Genomic DNA, 23200 nt, shown 5'->3' on the forward strand with positions numbered 1-23200 from the left:
GCGGAGCTTGCAGTAAGCCAAGATCGCGCCACTGCACTCCAGCCTGGGCGAGAGAGCAAGACTACATCTCAAAAAAAAAAAAAAAGACACATAAGTGCTACAATACACATGACACTTTATCTTAAGAAGCCCTGAGGTTTGCCAGTGGGTGTGATGTCACGGCTGGCAACTCATCAGCTACCTGAGGTGGTAGAAGGTGGGTGTTCTGAAATGGAATGGGAAGCTGTAGGTGCGTGTATCCTGTGTATCCTCACATAGCTCAGGTAGGCCGGGTGCAGGGCTCTGTGTACACTAGTGTTTTTTGAGGAGAAAACTGTACGTAGGCAAATACAAAATTCTCATCGTGTTCAAACTGTTCCCTCATATATCAATCAGTCTGGAACAAATTTACATTTTCAAAAGACACGTTATAGCAGAACTGTGCTTCACAGAAGTAATAAAATTGGCCTGATCCAATCAGTGAACAGGGAAGTGCAACTTAAACCACAATGAGATGCCATTATCTGTTATGGGAAGTCAGGGACCCCAAACAGAGAGACCGGCTGAAGCCATGGCAGAAGAACGTGGATTGTGAAGATTTCATGGACATTTATTAGTTCCCCAAATTAATACTTTTGTAATTTCTTATGCCTGTCTTTACTGCAATCTCTAAACATAAATTGTGAAGATTTCATGTACACTTATCACTTCCCCAATCAATACCCTTGTGATTTCCTATGCCTGTCTTTACTTTAATCTCTTAATCCTGTCAGCTGAGAAGGATGTATGTCACCTCAGGACCCTGTAATAATTGCATTAACTGCACAAATTGTACAGCATGTGTGTTTGAGCAATATGAAATGTGGGCACCTTGAAAAAAAGAACAGGATAACAGCAATTGTTCAGGGAACAAGAGAGATAACCTTAAACTCTGACCACTGGTGAGCCGGGCAGAACAGAGCCATATTTCTCTTCTTTCAAAAGCAAATGGGAGAAATATCACTGAATTCTTTTTCTCAGCATGGAACGTCCCTGAGAAAGAGAATGCACACCTAGGGGTAGGTCTCTGAACTGGCCCCCCTGGGGCATACCTGTCTCTTATGGTCGAGATTGCAGAGGTGAGATAGACTCCAGTTTCCCATAGCGCTCCCAGGCTTATTAGGAAGAGGAAATTCCCGCCTAATAAATTTTGGTCAGACCAGTTGATCTCAAAACCCTGTCTCCTGATAAGATGTTATCAATAACAATGGTGCCCGAAACTTCATTAGCAATTTTAATTTCGCCTCGGTCCTGTGGTCCTGTGATCTTGCCCTGCCTCCACTTGCCTCATGATATTCTATTACCTTGTAAAGTACTTGATGTCTGTGACCCACACCTATTCGCACACTCCCTCCCCTTTTGAAACTCCCTAATAAAAACTTGCTGGTTTTTGCGGCTTGTGGGGCATCACGGAACCTACCGACATGTGATGTCTCCCCCGGATGCCCAGCTTTAAAATTTCTCTCTTTTGTACTCTGTCCCTTTATTTCTCAAGCTGGCCGACACTTAAGGAAAATGAAAAGAACTTACGTGAATATCGGGGCATGTTCCCCGATAATTATCTTAGGTCACATTTTAGGACACCCAAGGAATCCCCTAGGCTTATGGACATGCTTGTCATCAACCAGCCCTTACACCCCAGCATGTTGTGAGGGTGGTACTGAGGGAACATGGGTGTGAGGAAGAAGGGCAGAGCAAAGCAGATGGGGAGCCCAGGCAGCAGGCAACACATGCCTGCAAAGCAGCTGCGTCCTGGGCCTGAGCCCGCCATGATGCTGTCACTAGAGGGAGAAATTGATCCACCTCCAAGGGCGTCAGGAATGCACTGGCCTAAAACAAGGAAACTGAGGCCCAGAGAGGGGAGAGACTGGCTCCAGGTCACAGAAGTCAAGCCAAGAATGGCTGAGTCCACTGCCATGCTAGTAAGAGTATGAGTGGTCCTCACTATGACCTCAGCACCCTCAATGGTAGGACAGTGACAATACTAGTTCCTCCCTTCTGGTTTAGAAGGGCTTGGCATCTACACCCACTAGATGACAACATCACCTCAGGTGGGCAGAGCTCCACAGTAAAGGCTGGGGCGACAGATGAACCAGAATAGGTGATGACAATGCAGCAATGCAAGAGCCAAGCCATGATGCATCAGCTGAAGGAGGCACCCTGGCTACTTTTTTTTTTTTTTTGTCTGAGACGGAGTCTCGCTCTGTTGCCCAGGCTGGAGTGCAGTGGCACGATCTCGGCTCACTGCAAGCTCCGCCTCCCGGGTTCATGCCATTCTCCTGCCTCAGCCTCCCAAGTAGCTGGGACTACAGGTGCCTGCCACCAAGCCCGGCTAATTTTTTGTATTTTTAGTAGAGACGGGGTTTCACCGTGTTAGCCAGGATGGTCTCGATCTGCTGACCTCGTGATCCGCCTGCCTCAGCCTCCCAAAGTGCTGGGATTACAGGCGTGAGCCACTGCGCCCGGCCCCTGGCTAATATTTTAAAAAAGAAAAGAGAGGCCAGGCACAGTGGCTCACGCCTGTAATCCCAGCACTTTGGGAGGCCGAGGCAGGCAGATCATGAGGTCAGGAGTTCAAGACCTGCCTAACAGGATGAAACCCTGTCTCTACTAAAAATACAAAAGTTAGCCAGACGTGGTGGTGCACGCCTGTAATCCCAGCTACTCAGGAGGCTCAGGCAGGAGAATCGCTTGAACCCGGGAGGCAGAGGTTGCAGTGAGCAGACATCGCGCCACTGCACTACAGCCTGGGCAACAGAGTGAGACTCCGTCTCAAAAAAAAAAAAAGGAAATAAAAGAGAAAGACAAGAGTAAGGTGTCTGGCAGGGGCAGATAAAGTGGGAATCTCCGCCTACCGGCACCCTCCACAGCATAAAAATAGAGTAGCCAGGGCTAATGCCAGTGCAGTATGAAAGGGGACAGGACAGGCCACACATGGCGCTGTCTTTAAAATGACAAGGTCTGTAATCCTAGCACCTTGCTGGGCCGAGGCAGACTGATTGCCTGAACTCAGGAATTCAAGACCAGCCCGGGCAACATGGTGAAACCCCGCCTCTACTAAAATACAAAAAATTAGCCAGGTGTGGCAGTGTGCACCTATGGTCCCAGCTACTTTGGAGGCTGAGGTAGGAGAGTTGCTTGAACACAGGAGGCAGAGATTGCAGTGAGCCAAGATCACGCCACTGCACTCCAGCCTGGGCGACAGAACGAGACTGTCTCCAAAAAAAAAAAAAAAAAAAAAAAAAAATTGAGAAGGCCTTCAACCAAATGCAACCTGCAGATCCTGCTTGGCTTCTGAAGAAACAAAGTAACTGTAAAATGAAATTTATGAGCCAAACTGGGGAAATCCAAACACTGACTGGACAACAGATGACACTAAAGAATTTTTGTTAGTTTCTTAGGTGTGAAAGTTCAACAATGGTTAAGTTTTGTAAGAAAAGATTCTATTTTCTATTAGCTGGGCATGGTGGCAGGCGCCTATAGTCCCAGCTACTGCGGGGGGGCGGGGGGGAGCTGAGGCAGGAGAATGGTGTGAACCCAGGAGGCGGAGCTTGCAGTAAGCCGAGATCGCGCCATTGTACTCCAGCCTGGGTGACAGAGTGAGACTCCATCTCAAAAAAAAAAAGAAAAGATTCTATTTTCTTAGCAAAACAACTGATATACTTACAGACACAGCTACACAGGATGAACTGCGGTAGAAACAAGACCGGCCACAGCTGCAAACTGCAGGTGCAGGGCAGGAGCATACATGGACTCACTCTATTACTCTCTCCACCTTTGATTATGTGGAAACATCCAACAAAGAAGGTGGCTTTAAAAAATGAGTAAAGGCTGGGCGCGGTGGCTCACGCCTGTAATCCCAGCACTTTGGGAGGCTGAGGCGAGTGGATCATCTGAGGTCAACAGTTTGAGACCAGTCTGACCAACATGGTGAAACCTCATCTCTACTAAAAATACAAAAATTAGCCGGGCGTGGTGGTGGGCTCCTGTAATCCCAGCTACTCGGGAGGCTGAGGCAGGAGAATTGCTTGAACCTGGAAGGCAGAGTTTGCAGTGAGTCGAGATCGTGCCACTGCACTCCACGCTGGGCAACAGAGCTAGACTCTGTCTCAAATAATAATAATAATAATAATAATAATATGAATAAATAAATAAATAAGTAAATAATGAGTAAAGCAGCCAGGCGCAGTGGCTCACGCCTGTAATCCCAGCACTTTGGGAGGCTGAGGCAGGCAGATCACCCGAGGTCAGGAGTTCGAGACCAGCCTGGCTAACATGGAGAAACCTCGTCTCTACTAAAAATACAAAAATTAGCCAGGTGTGGTGGCGCGCACCTGTAATCCCAGCTACTCAGGAGGCTGAGGCATGAGAATCACTTGAACTCGGGAAGCAGAGGTTACAGTGAGCCAAGATCGAGCTACTGTACTCCAGCCTGGGCAACATAACAAGACTCCGTCTCAAAAAAAAAAAAAAAAAGGCTGGGCGTGGTGGCTCATGCCTGTAATCCCAGCACTTTGGGAGGCCAAGGCAGGCGGATCACCTGAGGTCAGGAGTTCGAGACCAGCCTGACCAACATGGAGAAACCCCATCTCTACTAAAAATACAAAAAAAATTAGCCGGGCATGGTGGCACATGCCTATAATCCCAGCTACTAGGGAGGCTGAGGCAGGAGAATCGCTGGAACCTGGGAGGCGGAGGTTGTGGTGAGCCAAGATCGCGCCATTGCACTCCAGCCTGGGCAACAAAAGCGAAACTCCGTCTCAAAAAAAAAAAAGCAAACTATAGATCAGGCGTGGTAGCTCACATCTCTAATCCCAACACTTTGCAGGCCAAGGCGGGAGGATCGCTCAAGCCCAGGAGTTCAAGAGCAGCCTGGGCAACACAGTGAGACCCTGACTCTACCAAAATAAATAAATAATAATAATAATAAATTAAAAAGTAAAAAGCCAACTATAAAAAGCAAACCATGACAATTATTTCATATAGTAACACAACAGTATAAGTTAGAAGTACCACAGAACCTCTGGATCCACAGAAACCTTCCTGTCTTTATCTACTTGAATTAAACCTGCTTTTATGTATCTCAGAGTAGCAACAAACTAACTTTAACAAAAAACAACTATTACAGATGCACAAAGCCTTTCCCCTGTGTTTGATGGTGTCTTGTACACATCACACACTCACAAGGGAAGAAGAGCTGGCAGAGAGAAACACCCAGTGCTCCCCACATTTGTCCTGCGCCATCTACACAGGTCCTATTGACACTGTTCTCTCCACTTTCTGCTGTTCTTAAAGTGAATGTATGATTTTTTAAAACACAGTAGCTTCTAAAAAAGAAGCTGGGCCCCCAGTGACCTCCTCCTAACCCTAACCCTGGCCTGCAATGCTCTGAGGGTGGCAAGGGGAGCCTGCCTGCCACTCAGTCCCCATCTCTCCATCCACCTCCCACAGCAGAGCAGAGCCCAGCTTGGGACAGCAGGGTTTGAGCCCAAGGAGGCAGCTAGGCAGCCACATTGGGCCCTCTCCTGCTCCAGAGTTCGGCTTCAGAGGCCACACTCTGAACACTGGACAACACAGGGTCTAAGGCCAATGCTTTACCTGTCAAAGCCTGCATAGTCCTGGCCAGCCCTGGCCACCAGCCACCACCACCTCAAACAGCTGGTGTACTGTCTGAGAAGAAACCAAATCTTTCTTACCCCCGATGTGTGTAACAGTTTCATCTGGTCCACCTATGTGGGGAAGCAGGTCTGACTGACTGGGGGATGCCCAAAACTGACAAAGAAGAAACTGATCTCCTCCCTCAAAGGAAGGGACTGTGGTCCCTAAGTGACAGGGGAGACCTAGCAGGAATCCTATATGGACCTGGGCCGGATGCTCAGACACAAGGGCACAGGGACACCACTCCCTGACCTTGGGGGCTCACAGAGCACTGGGCCAAGGTAACAGGCATCATCATTAACCTATCACGGCCCAGACAGGCAGCGGCTCATCCAGGGCCGCAAGCTCCTGGGAGACCAGGCAGGGCCCAGACTCCCCCTGTGGAGTCAGTATGGAGTTCACAGGGACAGACATCATATACAGTCGGTCCTGCTCAGGTGGTGCCAGGCACCCCCAGGGGCCCAGGGGCTCCCAGCACTGGGCCTGGCCTTCCTCTGGATCCACCTGCTAAGCCACAAAGCATGCTCGCTTGGCATCCCCAAAGACGAGCTGCTCCATCACAGCTGTGCCTGCCTTGAATCCCATGGAGGGTGGCCAGGTCCACGCCTCCACATGCTGGCAGGGCTGGCCTGGAGCACACCATCCGCATGCCTAGGGCTGGGCAGATTCCCTGGCCAGGTCCCAGGATGATTGAGATACACAAGTGCCCAGTCGCCAGGCCCTACAGGAAGAAACAGCACCAGGGCTCGATGTGGGAGTTTCAGACATTTTTAAAAGTGTAAGGGTCCCTAAAGATTCCTTCATGACCCCCTGCCCCATATTCTAAAAGTGGGGAAAGAGAGGCCCAGCGGGGAGAGAATTGCCCAACAATTAGTGACAACAGTGTAGCCACATGGTCATCATCTTTGGATGCCTATAGCTGCCTCTCCCCAACTGTCAGACCCATCTGTGCTTCAGGTATTCACAGGGCCCCAGCTCCCACCCAAGCCAGGCTTCCTCATACCAACAGCAGACCACTGCCACCACCCAGCCCCCTGAAAGGCCCTTGGGTCTCCCAGAGCCTCCTTGCTCCCAACAGCCTTCTGTTCAGAAATGGACACAACAATGTTCTCAGGGGTTATCAGACGAATGGGAGAATCCCACACTTGCTTTAACCAAGACCAGGACTTTTCCTGCTCTGGAAGCAAACAATCAAAGAGGCTGGGCCTCACCCCCAGTAACTCTGCAGAGGAACCTCCTGGAGGGTCCTCTGCCAATCACCCTATTGCCCCCACTTCCTGCAGCTGCCCAGGTGCTGGGAACAGGGCTCAGCAAGTCCAGAAGGCAGCAGGCAGGGGAATTTTAGAGACACCCAAGCTTGAAGGGCAGGTGGGACTTCTAAGACAAAGGGTGAATGTGGGCACAGGAGAGGTAGGGCAGTCCCAAGCCAGGCTGTAGGGGCCTGAGACAATGCTTAGGGCAGCCCTTGGGAGGTGGCAATGGAAGCCACTTGAGACTGAGCAGGGACAAGGATAAGAACGGGGAGAAGCTGCAGGTGCAGCAGCAAGGAGACAGAGACCTGAGTGAGGCATGAGATTCAGTCCGCAGAAGACCTACGAAGCACTTGCTGCGTGTTGGGTGCTGTGCCCAGTCCAACACCCAATTCCACCCACGTGCACCTCTCAGACAAGGACAATGGTGCTCCAGAGCTTGACACTATGACACCAAGGTGGCACACCAAGGCAGTGAGGGTGTCCAGACCTCCTCTCTGAGCCTGAGCTCAGGTGGAGTCAAGACTGTTCTCAGACCTCCCCCATTACCCTCCCCTGACCATGAGGACCACATGGGCACCTAGCCTTAGCCCACCTAGCTACAGTCCCTGCCTGTGCCCTGAAGGCAGGAGCTGCCACCTCAGCACACCTGTCCTCTTAAAGCTACAGCTAAGAACACAGAACAAAGTGTCTCACGGCCACGCAGGACCAGGAACACCAGGTTGCTGACCAAAGCCCATCTAATTCTCTTCCCCACCATTCCAGGGAGAGGAAGGGAAAGGGCACAGTGGGAACGGGGACAGATATGGTCTTAACTGAGTCAGGCTCAAGAAATCACTAGCAGAATGATTAGGCAAAATCAACCAGGGGGCACCCACCTCACTTGTGGTCTCAGCCAGCACCGTGCTATGTTGTCAGCAGGACACAGACACTTCCCCCATCCCATGAGAAAGGCAACAGGACTGGCACTGTCTCCCATTCATCACCACAAGACCCTCCTCAGCTCTGATCAGAAACCCACACACTGGGACCAGCAGGCCAGCGTCCTTCCCTCAACGATCCTATTATCTACAAATGCAGGGCAGAAGTACAAGCAACTCCATTTGGAGCACAATTTATTAGTAACTAAATGCACTTTAGTTCAAGAAATAAAGTTTTCTAAAGAATTAAGGCGGTACACCGCTCTACAGGAGAAAAAAAACCCCACAATTATTGACTCCTTAAATCTTGTGGTTTTTTTTAAATGAAGAGTTAATATTTTCAACTATAATACTGGCCATAATTAAATAGGTTAGCAAGAGCCTGTGTTGGCATGGGTGTGAGGAACACGCATGCTGTTGATGGGGGGTGAACTGGTACAAACTTTCTGGCAACATCTACTGAAACTGAAACGCTGATGCACATTCCTCTAGACTCTGCTAGAGACCGAGCAGAAACATTCTTATCCCACCTTACAAAGGAGAACTAGATTCAGAACAGAGCAGTAATTTGTCCAAGGCCATGTGGCCAGTACATGGAAGCCAGGTGGTGACAAAAAACAAGCAAGCAGACGCCTAAAGAGTACCCACAGAAACAGGTATACCCTCTTCCTGATTCTGCTAGGGACTCACCCTCCAGATACATGCCACGAAAATGCCAAGATTCTTCACTGTGCCAAAACGTTTGTGTCAGAATAGCAAAGACCTGACAAATGAAGGGCACCAAAGCGGGGACAAGTTAAGTCAGCGACAATTCCTTCTCACAGAGGACACTGCCAAACCCAAGCTGTGGACAGAGACAGGGACTGTAGAGGCTGCCCAGGAGCGGCTCACGATGCACTTGGTAGGAGGAAGAGGGCTGCTTCACTGTGTGCAGAGGGAAAAGCGCCCTAACAGATAGTGCTGCCTGCTGGAGAGGGTGAGCCCCGCTACAGGAGACCAGAAACTGGCCGAGTCCACTCCCACTCCATATTCTCAGAGCCCCCTGCCTCCCTATCACACGCCCCACCCTAAGATGGGGACTCTTGCAAGAGCAGCTGCATCTCACCCCTCTTGTAGCTCCAGCGCCACTGGAGCATGCATTGCAGAAGGTGCCAATACCTGCTGACAGACAACAGAATCGAGTCCTGAGGGCGATGGGGGAGGACCCAGCTCCTGCTGGCCCAGGGTCAGCCATTGACTGGTACTAACTGAGCACCTGCTCTGCCCAGACATCCAAGCATCTGCTTGGATTCATTCTCTGCTCTCCACAGACGGGTCTCCTCAGACACGGGGGAGGCAAGGAAGGCTGCAAATGATTTAGGCACCTGTCTGGGCTGACTGGGAGCAGAGGTGCCAGGTGATAAGCCTGGAAACCAAGAGCCAAGGGCTCACCAGGACACACTCAAGTGGGGGAAGGGAGCACACCACCAAGCTATACTCCTGACCGCACACCAGTCCTTTCCAAATACATGACCCTCACAACAATCCTTTCTGGGCACGCAGTACTGCACTCCCATTTTGCAGAGGGGGAAACTAAGACTCACGGAGGGCCTCTACCCAAAGCCACATCACTAGCAAGGGGCACAGCCTGGATCCAAACCCTGGTGTATCCTCCCAGAAAGCAATTCCTGCAAACAACGCTATGGAGTCAGGGAACGGGAGAAGAGAAGCTGGGGAAGGACTGTCCAAGACTCCCGCTGCCCTGCCGCCTGGAGACCCTCGACCAGCCTGGTGGTCTAACCTACTCTCCCCCCAGTGGGAATGACACAGACCACTGAGGTCTCCGTCCAAGAGGAACACAGCAAGCCACAGCGAGGGGAAGGGCCCGAGAAGCGGGGCTGGACAGGAAGTGGGCCAGGGAAGTCATGCTAGCTGGTGGGAGCGCAATCCCGGCCATGAGGACACAGCGCTGGGCCTGGGGCAAGGGTACTGGGGGACCCATGCCAGGGGCAACCTCCACGTGCAACCCCGAGCCCCTACTCACTTAGGCCGCTGTCCACGACCTTTCCCCACCTCGGAGGCACTCATGAAAGAAGCAGAAACGCTCCGAAAGTAGCTGCGCCCAGAGAGGGGAAGTGCTTTCTCTGAAGGTGACAGAGCCGCAGCCACCCAGACCCAGGCCCACCCTCGGCCTCTCCCAGCGGGTCACCAGCATCCGTGGCCTCAGCTCCCGGCTCAGCCACTGCCCTCCCAACCCCACCCCACACTCAGACACACCCGGAACAGCGACCACCGCAAAGCATCAGCCCTTACGAAGCCCCGCCCCGCCGGGGCCGCCCAGGTCCGCACAGAAGCAGGCGGGCAGCTGCAGGAGGCGACAAGGCGCCCGGACCCCTGCATTAGCGGCGTCTGCAACGGCCGCGGCACCGGCCTGCTAGCCAAGGCCGGGCCCACTCCCACATACTGCCCGTGCCCCCTCCGCCCCGGCGGCCCACCCCTGCCGGCCCCCGCTTGGCAAGCTGACCTTGGCCGCCCTGGTGCCAGGGACGACGCCCACAGGCCCCGGCGCCGGGCGGGGGTCGCAGGGCAGGGCGGCTCGGCTCACCTCCTTGAGCTGCTCCATCTCGCTGCGGATAGCCTCATAGTCCACCTCGAGCTCCTCGAACTGCAGCTTGAGCTGGTGCTTCTCCTCGAGCACCGCCAGCCCGTACTCGGCCGCCTGGATCTTCTCACGCGTGGTCTCGGCCAGCTCGTGGGACAGCCGCTTCACCTCGGCGCGCAGCCACTCCGGCTGCGCCTCCATCACCAGCCGCGCGTACTCCTCCTCCTCCGACGGCGCCGACATGGTGGCCGAGGGCTGAGCCGGCTCCCACTGAGGCTCTCGCAGGCCGGGCCCTCCTCAGCCGCCGCCGCTGCCGCCGCCGCCGCCGCCCTGCCCCGACGGCCGCCCGCCCGCCCGCGCCGCCGCACGGCTCCTCCCCTCCGGCGCGCGGGGCCCGCTGGGGGCTGGAGTCCTGCCTGCGCTCCGACCACAAGGTCCATCATGCCCGGCGCCCGCCCGGCCCCCGGCTATGATTGGCCCATGCTCTGTGAGGGGCGGGCCCTCGGGCGCAGCCACTGACGCCAATGTGGCCCAGGGGGCTGTGGGGACAGTAGTCCCGCTAGCGCACCGACTACAAAACCCGTCCAGCCCCGCGCCCACCCGTCCCCGTCCGTGATTGGCCTGCGCCGCCAGCGTCGAGCCGGATGTACCGGCGCCTTGCAGTCCCCTGGACGGCGGTCGAGTGGGCGCGGCCCCGCGGCCTTCCCCACACTCAGAGCCGGGGACACTGCTCGGTCGCCGGGCCTCGCGCTCCCCTGTGCCTCTGGCAGCCGGCGGCCACGCGGGGTGGCAAGACGGCTGCCGGGAGAACCCCCAGGGGGAGGCGGGTGCGGGGCGGCAGGACTGGGCTCCCGACCGTGGGACGAACAACGCGGACAGAGCCCGGGAGGCCACGAGCTAGAAGCGCATCCGAGAGCGCGGGTGAACGGCTGCTGCTGGAAACCCGTGGACGGTGTGACGCATGCTCTGTGCAGACGTCTGGGGGCGGGAGGAGGACGGGCCAGCAGGGGGCGCCCAGGGGCCAGCGGGAACCTCAGCACCGCCCCTCAGTCCTTCAAGGTCTATTTCTTGGGAATAAAGACATTTCCATTAATACAGGGTCATAAACGTGGTAAATATAATTGTTGTCTCCGCATCTATTTTTAGGCCTGACTTAAGTTGTTTGAAAGCCAGTCGTACCCTTCGCCTTGGCGTAGGTAACACTTCTCCGTATATGGTGGTGTGTGAGATAACTCGTTTATTCTTTATCTCATTGACCTAAAGCGCAACACACCCCACAGCCGCTGACCGCCATAGCACCTAATGGCCAGTATCAGTGCAGATGAGTTCACCCTTCCCTCGTATTTTCTTTAGCCAGTCCACAGGCCCCAAGGGAAATCCTAAAGGATGATTTCCATGGACCCTAGCACAGCCATAGTCCCTTCCTTCCCACCGTCTCTCACTGCCCCTCTCCATCTGCTTGTCCGCCTCTCTTAGGCATCCCTAACCTCTCCGGAACCTAAGAATAATAAATTCCTTCTGTTTTGTACCTTTTAATTTTACTTTCTCATTGTATCTCACCTGAACCCCACACCCATTCGGTTCTCCTAGAGAGTGGCTATCTTGGCTTATGGTCACTCTCCCTCAAGACCAAATTAGAAAGAAGCCATGACAGCAGAAATCACAGCACACAGGGTACTGACACTATCTAATGCACAGTCCACACTCTAATTGCACGAGGGCCCAACACCATACTGGAGAGTTTCAGTATTGTTTTTGTGGTCCAGGATCCAGTTGCATTCAGTCGTCAGGTTTCCTGAGTCTCCTTTGATTGACCTTTCTGAGGAGTGCAGTGCACACTGGTATATGCTCATGGGGTGATGAGGTGATGCGTTTCTGGCAGGACTGTCACTGAGGTGTTGCTGAGTTTTCAGAGCACCAGCCGGGAGGTATGTGATGTCGATTTGCATTTCTCTGATTGATGCTGGGTTTTTCTTTGGTAATTAGTGTCATGAGTGAAGACTTTGCAACCATAGATATAGCCTATGACTCCTCAAACCTTGACCCACTGGTTTTGGCATTCATGACTACTTCTTGCCTGAAATAATTATTACCATACTGTCTGCTTTTTTTTTTTTTTTTTTTTTTTTTTTTTTGAGACAGAGTCTCGCTCTGTCCCCAGGCTGGAGGGCAGAGATGCAATTTCGGCTCACTGCAACCTCTGCTTCCCGGGTTCAAGTGATTCTGCCTCAGCCTCCCGAGTAGCTGGGACTACAGGCGCATGCCACCATGCCCAGCTAATTTTTTTTTTTTTTTTTTTTTTTTTAGTAGAGAGTGGGTTTCACCATGTTGGCCAGGATGGTCTCGATCTCTTGACCTCGTGATCTGCCTGCCTCGGCCTCCCAAAGTGTTAAGATTACAGGCGTGAGCGACCGCGACCAGCCATACTGGCTGCTTTTCTATTTCCATTAGTCCTTCTCCATTTATGAGTTGCCTTTGTACTGTGAGGCACCTATACCTTCTCATCTATTCCCTTCTCTCTCATTCATTAGCAGTATGGATCCATGGATTCTTATTTTACTCCGTGGGTTACAATCCATTACTTTCCTTACTTGCTTTGATGCTCAAATGGTAGCAGATTTGGCCCGTGGGAGCTCCTCCAAGCTGGCTCCATGTCTTCAAAACATCGTAATTTGTTATTATTGTTATTACTTCCTTGATGTCTGATGCAAATTGTTCCAAGATCATCTTGTGCTCTCCATGTCCCAGACCTGAAATCAGTCATTTCCCCAAGGAGCCCTGATTCTTTTTAGTGTTTTGTTTGTCTGAGGAGAATGTGTCATAGATTGGCTTGTGAAATTAACTAATTTTAAGGAGTTCAGTTGTAGTAGGAATAGGAAGACCAACCTTCCTGGCTTACCTGGGACTGTCTTGGGCTGGGCAAATTGTTAACTGTAAGTGGGAGAGCTCCCAGTGTAAAGAAGGAACAAGACTTGTTTGAGTGTGTACTTAGCAAGGGAGGGACTGATGCCCCACAGTGACTTGCCCAAGGTCACACAGCCTCAGGGCAACACCTGCACCTGATCCAGGCTGATCTGACTCGAACCTCCCCACCCCCCGCCATACCTTGCTGTGGGGCAGGTCTGAGGAGGGAGGGAGAAAGACCATGGGAGTCCCACGCAGGGACTGACCATGGCGCTTTGAACTTGGAAACAGGTGGTGGTGGAAGGGAGGCCAGGGAAGGTTTCAGGAACATTCTGTTACAGGTAGGGACTCTCCTAGGTGCTGGGGGCAGAGGGTCTGTCACTACCCTTGTGGTCTTCCTTCTGGCAGGAGGGACAGCTCTGGGTGCGAGTGGCAATGTGTGATGGGGTGGGGTGGATCGGGAAAGGCTTCCCTGAGAAGACACCTGAGGGAGACCCAGAGGATGCACAGGAACTGGCCAGCCCAAGGCTGCAGGAATAGGGGGCTTGCAAAGATAAGAGAAGCAGGGTGATCCTGGCAGCAGATAATGAGCCACCTCTTACTGAGCTCTGCATGTGTTCCCAACATTGCCAGGTACGTGACATACATCTTCTCATTCAATCTTCACAATACCCTGAGGGGTAGAAATGATGCCACCTTCTTCTCCTCAAGTCTCTCTGTCTCTGGCCAGACTCTTCTCCAAAGTTACACCATCAAGCTGTCACTCTGAAGTCAAGCCGCTTCTCTCCAACATCCAGCCATAGTCCCCGACATCCAGCTGCTTCTCCTGTCTGCTGGCTGAGCCTGGGGTCCTTATAGGCAAAGGATGGGGCAGGGCGGGGCCATGGGTAGTTTAGGAAACAGCGACATTTGAGTGGGAAACAGGGATATAAGTTCTTATTTTGGGCTGCGGTTTCAGGCCTTTCAGCTTGACGGTGAGGCTTCACCAGGGACCCGCCCTTTTCTACCTGGAATTTCTCTGCCCCAGTCCCTATCACCTGGACCATTACCGTCACCCTCTCACTGCCTCCTTGCCTCCTCCTTCCCCTAGGCTTCTCTCACAGCAGGGCAGCCAAGAGTTTCCTTAGACCCAAGTCAGGTCCCATTCCCACTCTGCTCAAAACCCAACCAAAGTCAAAGCCCCATCATCACAGCTACCTCCAAGGCCCTGCACGCTCAAGTGTGGCCCTTCCTCAACCTCTTCCTTCCCCTCTCCTCTTGTGTAGCTCTTGTAAACCAAAAAGTATCTGAGACAAATCTTAATCAACTCAGAAAGTTTATTTTGCCAAGGTTAAGGATGCATCCATGACACAGCCTTAGGAGATCCTAATGACATGTGCCCAAGGTGGTCAAGGTACAGCTTGCTTTTATACATTTTTGGGAGACATAATGTCAGAGACATTTGAACCAGAGCAACTCCATCTCAAATAGGGGCTGAGTAAAATAAGGCTGAGACCTACTGGGCAGCATTCCCAGGAAGTTAGGCATTCTAACTCACAGGATGAGATAGGAGGTTGGCACAAGATAAAGGTCACAAAGACCGTGCTGATAAAACAGGTTGCAGTAAAGAAGCCAGACAAGGCTGGGCACGGTGGCTCACGCCTTTAATCCGAGCACTTTGGGAGGCTGAGGCGGGCAGATGACCTGAGGTCAGGAATGCGAGACCAACCTGGCCACCATGGTGAAACCCCGTCTCTACTAAAAAAATACAAAAATTAGCCGGGAGTGGTGGCGGGTGCCTGTAATCCCAGCTACTCGGGAGGCTGAGGCAGGAGAATTGCTTGAACCCGAGAGGCAGAGTTTGCAGTGAGCCAAGATCACGCCACCACACTCCAGCCTGGGTGACAGAACGAGACTCTGCCTCAAAAAAAAAAAAGAAGGCAGACAAAACCCACCAAAACCAAGATGGCAATAAAAGTGACCTCTAGTCATTCTCACTGCTCATAATGTGCTAGTTATAATGCATTAGCATGCTAAGACACTCACACCAGCGCCGTGACAGTTTACAAATGCCATGCCAATGTCAGGAAGTTACCCTATATGGTCTAACAAGGGGATGAACCCTCAGTTCTGCAAAGTGCCTACCACTTCCCCAGAAAACTCATGAATAATCCACCCTTCTTTAGCATATCATCAAGAAATGACTATAAGTATCCTTAGTCAAGCAGCCCATGATGCTGCTCTGCCTATGGAGTAGCCACTCTTTATTCCTTTACTTTCCTAATAAACTTGCTTTCACTTTACTCTATGGAGTCACCCAGAATTCTTTTTTGCACGAAGTCCAGGAACCCTCTTTTGGGGTCTGGATCAGAACCCCTTTCCAGTAACAGTGATACATCAATCAATACATGTAAGATTTACATTGGTTCCATCTAGAAGGGCGGGACAACTTGAAGTGTACAAGGGGTGGGGGGTCTTCCAGGTCTTAGGTAGATTTAAACATATTCTGACTGCAATTGGTTGAAAAAGTTATTTATTATCAGTAGAAAGGAATGTCTGGTTTATCATCAGGGGTTGTAAAGGCTGAGGTTTTATCATGCATATGAAACCTTTAAATAGCAGGCTTTAGATATACTAGACTGTAAATGTTTCTTATCAGACTTAAAGTTTGTGTTGATGTAAAATAAACCCTGGGCATGTCCAACCCCCACTTCATGTCATGGCCTGAACAGGTTAGTCTTTCAAGTTAAATTTTAGAATGCCCTGGCTGAGGAGGAGGTTCATTCAGATGGTTGGGCGTGCCTTCAAATTTTATTTTTGGTTACACCCTCACGGCTGTAGGCTGCAGACTCCCTTCCCTGGTTCTATTTCCCTCCCTCTGTTGCATACTGTATGTTGTGCATATTCACCTTTGTGCACTTATGTCCCCCTAGAATGTTAGCTCTAGGAGGGCAGGAGCTTTGATGAGGCCTAGTGAGTCTTGGGACCCATATCAGGGACACCAACCAAGGTCCCTTAGGGGTCAGGGCTCAGCGGATACAGACCAGGCTGGGCTCACCATGCACCACTTCCTGGACACAAGCGCCCTCCACCAGGAAGGCAGGATACATAAGATAAGGGAGGCGGCCTCAGCAGAGGTGGGAGGGAGAGGGGCTTGAGGGGTGTCAGGGAACAGCTGGGTGGCTCCCTCTAGGAGAACTGGACCGCTTAGCTGGGGCCTGGCAACAAAACAGGAAGTGATGTTCTCCCAACCAAGCTGCTCTGCCTTTGCACATAAACAAAGACTCCCCAGGGGCCCAGGCAAAGGCTGGCAGTGTCCTCACACACAGACATGCCCAGGCTCAAACCTAACCTGGTGTGTAGTCACTCTGGCAGCTCAGCCTCCCCTCCTTCCTCACTGTTCCCTGGAGAGCTCTGCCTACCCACGTAAGCACCTTCCCCTGTCTCCTCTCTGCCCCTCACTGGCTGAGGAGTAAAGCCATCTCCCCAACAGGTGATGGCCTGCCAGGTGTATGTGGCTTGGGCCACCCGCATGGTGAGTCACATGGCAGCCCCCACACTTTCATGCTGTATGACGTCAAAGGATCTTTGGCCCAGGTTGGGCATGGTGGCTCACGCCTGTAATCCCAGCATTTTGAGACACCAAGGCAGGTGAATCACCTGAGGTCAGGGGTTCAAGGCCAGCCTGGCCAACATGGTGAAGCCCTGTCTCTACTAAAATACAAAAATGAGCTGGGCGTGGTGGCGGGCACCTGTAGTCCCAGCTACTCTGGGACTATTCCCAGCTAGGCTGAGGCAGGAGAATCACTTGAACCTGGAAGGCAGAGATTGCAGTGAGCTGAGATCTCGCCAGCACTCCAGCCTGGGCGACAGAGGAAGACTCTGTCTCAAAGAAAAAAAAAAAGATCTTTGGCCCAGATATCACGCATTTGATAAACTCCTCTGTGCTAGGAATTTAGACAGTAATGATGATGTGGCAGGCCAGGTCTCACTAACAGTTGAACAGGTAGGCCTCCATAACAACTGCTTCAGCACTGACTGAATGGTTAGATAGTAAAGGCTGAAAGAGCCAGTGCGCATACACAATGGCTAGAATGTAACAGACGCCCTCCAAGAGTCTTGCCCGGGCCTCTCCTGGGCCTTGAAACATGTCAAGACAATGAAGGAATTCTTACATTCCTCATACCAGGACCTGTTTAGGATTAAGCAAGTTTTATTAGGGGTCTAAAGAAATTCCCCAGACCTCCATACCTTAGCTGGAGACAAGATAAGGGTAATGACTATCTCAGCCTCCAGAGTAGCTGGGACTACAGGCACACGCCACCACGTCTAGCTAATTTTTGTATTTTTAGTAGAGACGGGGTTTCACCATATTGGTCAGGCTGATCTCGAACTCCTGACCTCAGGTGATCCACCCACCTCAGCCTCCCAAAGTGCTGGGATTATAGGCCTAAGCCACTGTGCCCGGTTGACCCACACCTTAGTTATAGATTACATGGAATCCATCACTTGGGTCTTTAGATGAGTGCACACTAGCAAGTAGACATATAGCTTAGAAGGTGTGTAAGCACTGGAAAAGCTTTGTAACTTTGAGTTGGTCTGGTGAATTGCCCCTGCCCTTCTCCCTGTAACTGTTTACAGAAATAAACTCTTCTTTCCCAGGTCATCTGCATCTCATTACTGGACCAGGAGAACAAGCAGCCCCACCCTCGGTTCAGTCCAGGAACAATGATAGTGGTGAAGACCCCAAAATATGTGCTGAGCATTTACCCTGCTCCAAGCCCTATGTCTAGCACATTGCAAATATTCACTATCTTTCTTAAGCCTCACAAACAGGTTACAAAGCAGGTACCACTGTTTTCATTTTATAGACCAGGAAACTGGAGCACAATAAGGTGGATGACTTGTCCAAGATATCATAGGGTATAACTGGAGAAGCCCAGGATCTGAACCCTGGTCCATGTGACTCCAGATCCCAGCTCCCTGCCCACCAGCCTTCCCTGGGTGCAGCAGGACACAGCCCAGCCCTCGGAGGTTCATGTTGCAGATAGAACAGACTTCAGTGGCTGACTCTGCTGCACTCGGGAGGCTGGGAGAGGCAACACTCCATCTGCAGGACTCAGAAGATGGCACAGAATGGGTGACAGTGGGTTGCATCTCGAGAGAGCAGGTTTTTGCCAGTCGTGGAAAATATGCTCCAGAGAGAAGGCCCCAGAGACACAAAGATGTGGAATCATGGATGAGTGTGGCCCGGGGGTAAATTCAGGGAAGAGGAGCAAGACGGAGTGTGTGTGTGAGTGTGTGTGTCTGCACACACACACACATGCACACTTGCATGGAGAGGTGAGAAAGAGCTGCTGGTGTCTCACAGCCCTGCAGCTCCATGCTGTGTGGGGCTGCAGTTGGCTCAGCGCAGACAGGTTCAGGAGAAGCGATTGTTACATCTTAGCATAGTGTTTTCAAGGCTCAGCCATGTTGTATCAGAAATTCATTCCATTTGTGGCTGAATATTGTTCCATTTGTATGAATGTAGCACATTTTCTTAATCCATTTGTCTGTTAGTATAGGCTGGTTGTTTCTACCCCTTCGACTATTTTTTTTTTTTTTTTTTTGAGACAGAGTCACTCTGTCACCCAGGCTGGAGTGCAGTGGCCCAATCTCGGCTCACTGCAAGCTCTGCCTCCCGGGTTCACACCATTCTCCTGCCTCAGCCTCCTGAGTAACTGGGACTACAGGCACCTGCCACCACACCCAGCTAATTTTTTGTATTTTTAGTGGAGACAGGATTTCACAATGTCAGCCAGGATGGTCTCAATCTCCTGACCTCATGATCCCCCCGCCTCGGCCTCCCAAAGTGCTGGGATTACAGGTGTGAGCCACCGCAACTGGCCCCCTTTGACTATTTTGAATGCTATTGTGAAAATGGCTATACAAGTATCTGCTTGAGGCTCTGCTTTCAATTCTTTTGAGGATGTACCTAGAAGTGGAATTGCTGGGTCATGTAGTAATTTTGTTTGGCTTTTTGCAGAATCGCCATGTTTTTTATAGCAGCCGCACCATTTTACATTGCCACCAGCAAGGCACAAGGGTTCCAATTTCTCCAAATTCTCATCAGTACTTGTTACTTCCATTTTTAAAATAACTGTCCCAAGCCAGGCACGGTGGCTTATGCTTGTAATCCCAGCACTTTGGGAGGCCGAGGCGGGTGGATCACGAGGTCAGGAGATCGAGACCATCCTGGCTACCATGGTGAAACCCTGTCTCTACTAAAAATACAAAAAATTAGCCAGGTGTGGTGGTGCATGCCTGTAGTCCCAGCTACTTGGGAGGCTGAGGCAGGAGAATGACGTGAACCTGGGAGGTGGAGCTTGCAGTAAGCGGAGATAGTGCCACTGCACTCCAGCCTGGGCGATAGAGCGAGACTCCGTCTCAAAAAAACAAACAAACAAACAAACAAAAAAACCGTCCCAGTGGGTGAGAAGTGGTATCTCATTATGGTTTTGATTTGTATGGTTTGGAATCATTACATTTCCCTAATGATCAACTGATATTGAGTATCTTTTCAGGTGCTTATTTGCCGTTTGTGTTTCTTCTTTGAAGAAAATGTGTGGGAAACTGGATGAAGGGTACTTTTCACAACCTCTGTCTTTACTGGGGTTTTCTGTTTGTTGATTCATTGCCATAATCCATTCTTTTGCTTATTTAAATAGGGATTTCTTTAACTTTTTGAACTTATTTGTAATAGCTGCTTTGCTTTGAAGCCTCTGTCTGCTAAATCCAATATCTGAGGACAATCAGACACAATTTCTATTGAATTCTCTTTTTCCTGAGGATAGGTCTTTGTGTGTCTTATAATGTTTTATTGAATACTTGACATTTGAGATAATGTATTGAAGCAACTCTGGATTCCAATTCCCCCTCTTGTGCACTATTGTTTTTGTTTTGTTTGTTTGTGAACTCTGTCTCCTCAGCAATATGTGGCTGCTTTCTTCTTATTTTATGTTTAAGCCCTGCTTCCTAGGTTTTGCCACTGTGACTTCATACATTAGCATTCAGCTAATGTAAGCATTAGTCAGACTATGCTTACAGCCAATTAGGCTCCCACACTGTGCTGATGGATCTGCAATTTGGCAGCGGAGCACCTTCTAACCACAGGCCACATTCAAGTCTACTCTAGCTGTTAGATTCCACTAGGATCTCTTGCATCTTCTCTGCATAAATAGTCATATTCAGTTGGCCAGAGATGCATGAGTGGCTTCAGCTCAATCCAATCTTTGTTACAGATGTGCTCATCCTCTGCTCAATGTGGCATATGTGAGAGTTTATCAAGCCCCCTATTGCTGTCTCACCACCTGGGCCTCCTTAGCAAAAGCTTATCTATCATTTTGTTCCATTTCTTGTTCCAAAAAGATCTGAGTTTAGGCCAGGTACAGCGGCTCATGCCTGTAATCCCAGCACTTTGGGATGCTGAGGTGGGCAGGTTACTTAAAGTCAAGAGATCGAGACCAGCCTGGCCAATATGGCAAAACCCTGTCTCTACTAAAAATACAAAAATTAACTGGGTGTGATGGTGCATGCCTGTAATCCCAGCTACTGGAGAGGCTGAGACAGAATTGCTTGAACCTGGGAGGTGGAGGTTGCAGTGAGTAGAGATGGCACCACTGCACTCCAGCCTGGGCAGCAAAGTGAGACTGCGTCTCAAGCAAACAAACAAACAAAACAGAAAAGGTCACACTTCAGGTTAGCAGAGCTGCTGGACATCCCTGATCACTTGTCAGTGAGATCCAACTTAGCTGACAGTATTTAAATCAAGTTGGCCGGGTGCGGTGGCTCACGCCTGTAATCCCAGCACTTTGGGAGGCCAAGGCGGGTGGATCACGAGGTCAGGAGATCGAGACCATCCTGGCTAACATGATGAAACCTGGGCGTGGTGGCGAGCGCCTGTAGTCCCAGCTACTTGGGAGGCTGAGGCAGGAGCATGGCTGGTGAACCCAGGAGGCAGAGCTTGCAGTGAGCCAGTGAGCCAAGATCACGCCACTGCACTCCAGCCTGGGCGACAGAGCAAGACTCCATCTCTAAAAAAAATAAAATTAAAAAAAAATCAACCGACATCCCTCTGGTAGTGTAATCAAAGGTAATAGTTTCTTTATCTGCCCCCACATTCATCAAATTAAACAGTGTTGGGAAGTTATGACAGTTTCCCCAGGTAGGAACATCACAGACTTTCGCTATTTGCACCCACAGTTAAGCAATTCTTCCTTCCTTCCTCCCTCCCTCCCTTCCTTCCTTTTTTCTTGCTTTGCTTTGCGACAGAGTTTCACTCTTTTGCCCAGGCTGGAGTGCAGTGGCATGATATTGGCTGACTGTAACCTCCACCTCCTGGGCTCAAGTGATTCTCCAGCCTCAGTCTCCCAAGTAGCTGCAACTACAGGTACGCACCACCAGACCCGGCTAATTTATGTATTTTTTGTAGAGACAGGGTTTCACCATGCTGCCCCAGCTGGTCTTCAACTCCTGAGCTCAAGCAATCTGCCCACCTAGCCCTCCCAACGTATTGGGATTACAGGCATGAGCCACTGCGTCCAGCCTAAGAAATTTTCATGAATGAACACTTCTCAGTTTTATATACACATTTGGCAAATTTCCAGAGCACTGAAACTTTTTTTTAGCTGCCTTGATGGTTTTCTTTTTTTTTTCTTTTCTTTTTTTTTTTTTGAGACGGAGTCTCCCTCTGTTGCCCAGGCTGGAGTGCAGTGGCGCGATCTTGGCTCACTGCAAGCTCCGCCTCCTGGGTTCACGCCATTCTGCTGCCTCAGCCTCCTGAGTAGCTGGTACTACAGGCACCCGCCACCACGCCCGGCTAATTTTTTGTATTTTTAGTAGAGACAGGGTTTCACCGTGTTAGCCAGGATGGTCTCGATCTCCTGACCTCGTGATCCACCCGCCTTGGCCTCCCAAAGTGCTGGGATTACAGGCGTGAGCCACTGCGCCCGGCCGCCTTGATGGTTTTCTACAGATCATAGGTGCTTTGTGGGGAGATTTGTGGATCTGCTAACTTCATCATGTCAAACTCCAAATAGTATTTTTTTGTACAGACAGGGTTTTACCATGTTGCCCAGACTCCTGGGCTCAAGGGATCCCCCCACCTTGGTCTTCCAAAGTGCTGGGACTACAGGGGTGAACTCCACGCTCCCCACCAGCCCAGCCAATTAAACTTCATTCCATGGCCGGGCGCGGTGGCTCACTCCTGTAATCCCAGCACTTTGGGAGGCCGAAGCGGGTGGGTCACGAAGTCAGGAGATGAAGACCATCCTGGCTAACACGGGGAAATACAAAAAATTAGCCGGCCGCGGTGGCGGGCGCCTGTAGTCGTCCCAGCTACTTGGGAGGCTGAGGCAGGAGAATGGCGTGAACCCGGGAGGCGGAGCTTGCAGTGAGCTGAGATAGCGCCACTGTACTCCGGCATGGGCGAAAGAGCAAGACTCCGTCTCAAAAAAAAAAAAAAAAAAAAACCTTGAAGAAAACAAAAAGACAAAGCATAAAGCATAAATTGGGAGAAAATATTTGCAGATCTTATATTTGATATAGAACTTTTATACAAAATATAAAAAGAAGAGCTCAATAACAAGAGGACAACCCAATTTAAAATTGGGCAAGAGACCTGAATAGACATTTCAACGAAGAAAACATACAAATGGCTCATAATCACATGAAAAAGTGCTCAACATCACAAGTAATTAGGAAAAGCAAATTAAAGCCACCATGCAATACCAATACACACCAATCAGAATGGTTAAAATTAAGACTGATAATTCCAAATGCTGATAAACATGCTTAGCAAGTGGAACCTTCATAAATTGCTGATTGGAGTACAAAAAGGTACATTCTCT

The 23200-nt window shown here is 50.8% G+C and overlaps 1 protein-coding gene across 3 annotated transcripts in view, besides 4 other annotated features; it reads right to left on the bottom strand.

Annotated features, from left to right (window-relative positions):
• BICD2 (BICD cargo adaptor 2) overlaps window positions 1-10759 on the bottom strand; it is a 53471-nt gene extending 42712 nt beyond the window's left edge. For 2 of the 3 annotated variants that reach the window (NM_015250.4, NM_001003800.2), the window contains exon 1: window positions 10431-10759. In NM_015250.4, the coding sequence (NP_056065.1) occupies window positions 10431-10670 (240 nt within the window). In that variant the 5' untranslated portion in view covers window positions 10671-10759. Of the gene's footprint in view, window positions 1-10349 lie in introns of all 3 variants that reach the window. The other variant, XM_017014551.2, reaches the window with a different exon arrangement.
• Window positions 319-519: a silencer, noted in NCBI's record as "peak7293 fragment used in MPRA reporter construct". NCBI's record gives its function as "represses an SCP1 promoter by STARR-seq MPRAs in K562 erythroleukemia cells {active_cell/tissue: K562}" and the evidence as "EXISTENCE:reporter gene assay evidence [ECO:0000049][PMID:32103011]".
• Window positions 8727-8886: an enhancer, noted in NCBI's record as "active region_28603". NCBI's record gives its function as "activates an Ori minimal core promoter by ATAC-STARR-seq in GM12878 lymphoblastoid cells {active_cell/tissue: GM12878}" and the evidence as "EXISTENCE:reporter gene assay evidence [ECO:0000049][PMID:35858748]".
• Window positions 10710-11449: a silencer, noted in NCBI's record as "silent region_20032". NCBI's record gives its function as "represses an Ori minimal core promoter by ATAC-STARR-seq in GM12878 lymphoblastoid cells {active_cell/tissue: GM12878}" and the evidence as "EXISTENCE:reporter gene assay evidence [ECO:0000049][PMID:35858748]".
• Window positions 12302-12351: a silencer, noted in NCBI's record as "silent region_20033". NCBI's record gives its function as "represses an Ori minimal core promoter by ATAC-STARR-seq in GM12878 lymphoblastoid cells {active_cell/tissue: GM12878}" and the evidence as "EXISTENCE:reporter gene assay evidence [ECO:0000049][PMID:35858748]".

Source organism: Homo sapiens, chromosome 9 (genome assembly GCF_000001405.40).
Source record: "Homo sapiens chromosome 9, GRCh38.p14 Primary Assembly".
Taxonomy (NCBI): Eukaryota; Metazoa; Chordata; class Mammalia; order Primates; family Hominidae; genus Homo; species Homo sapiens.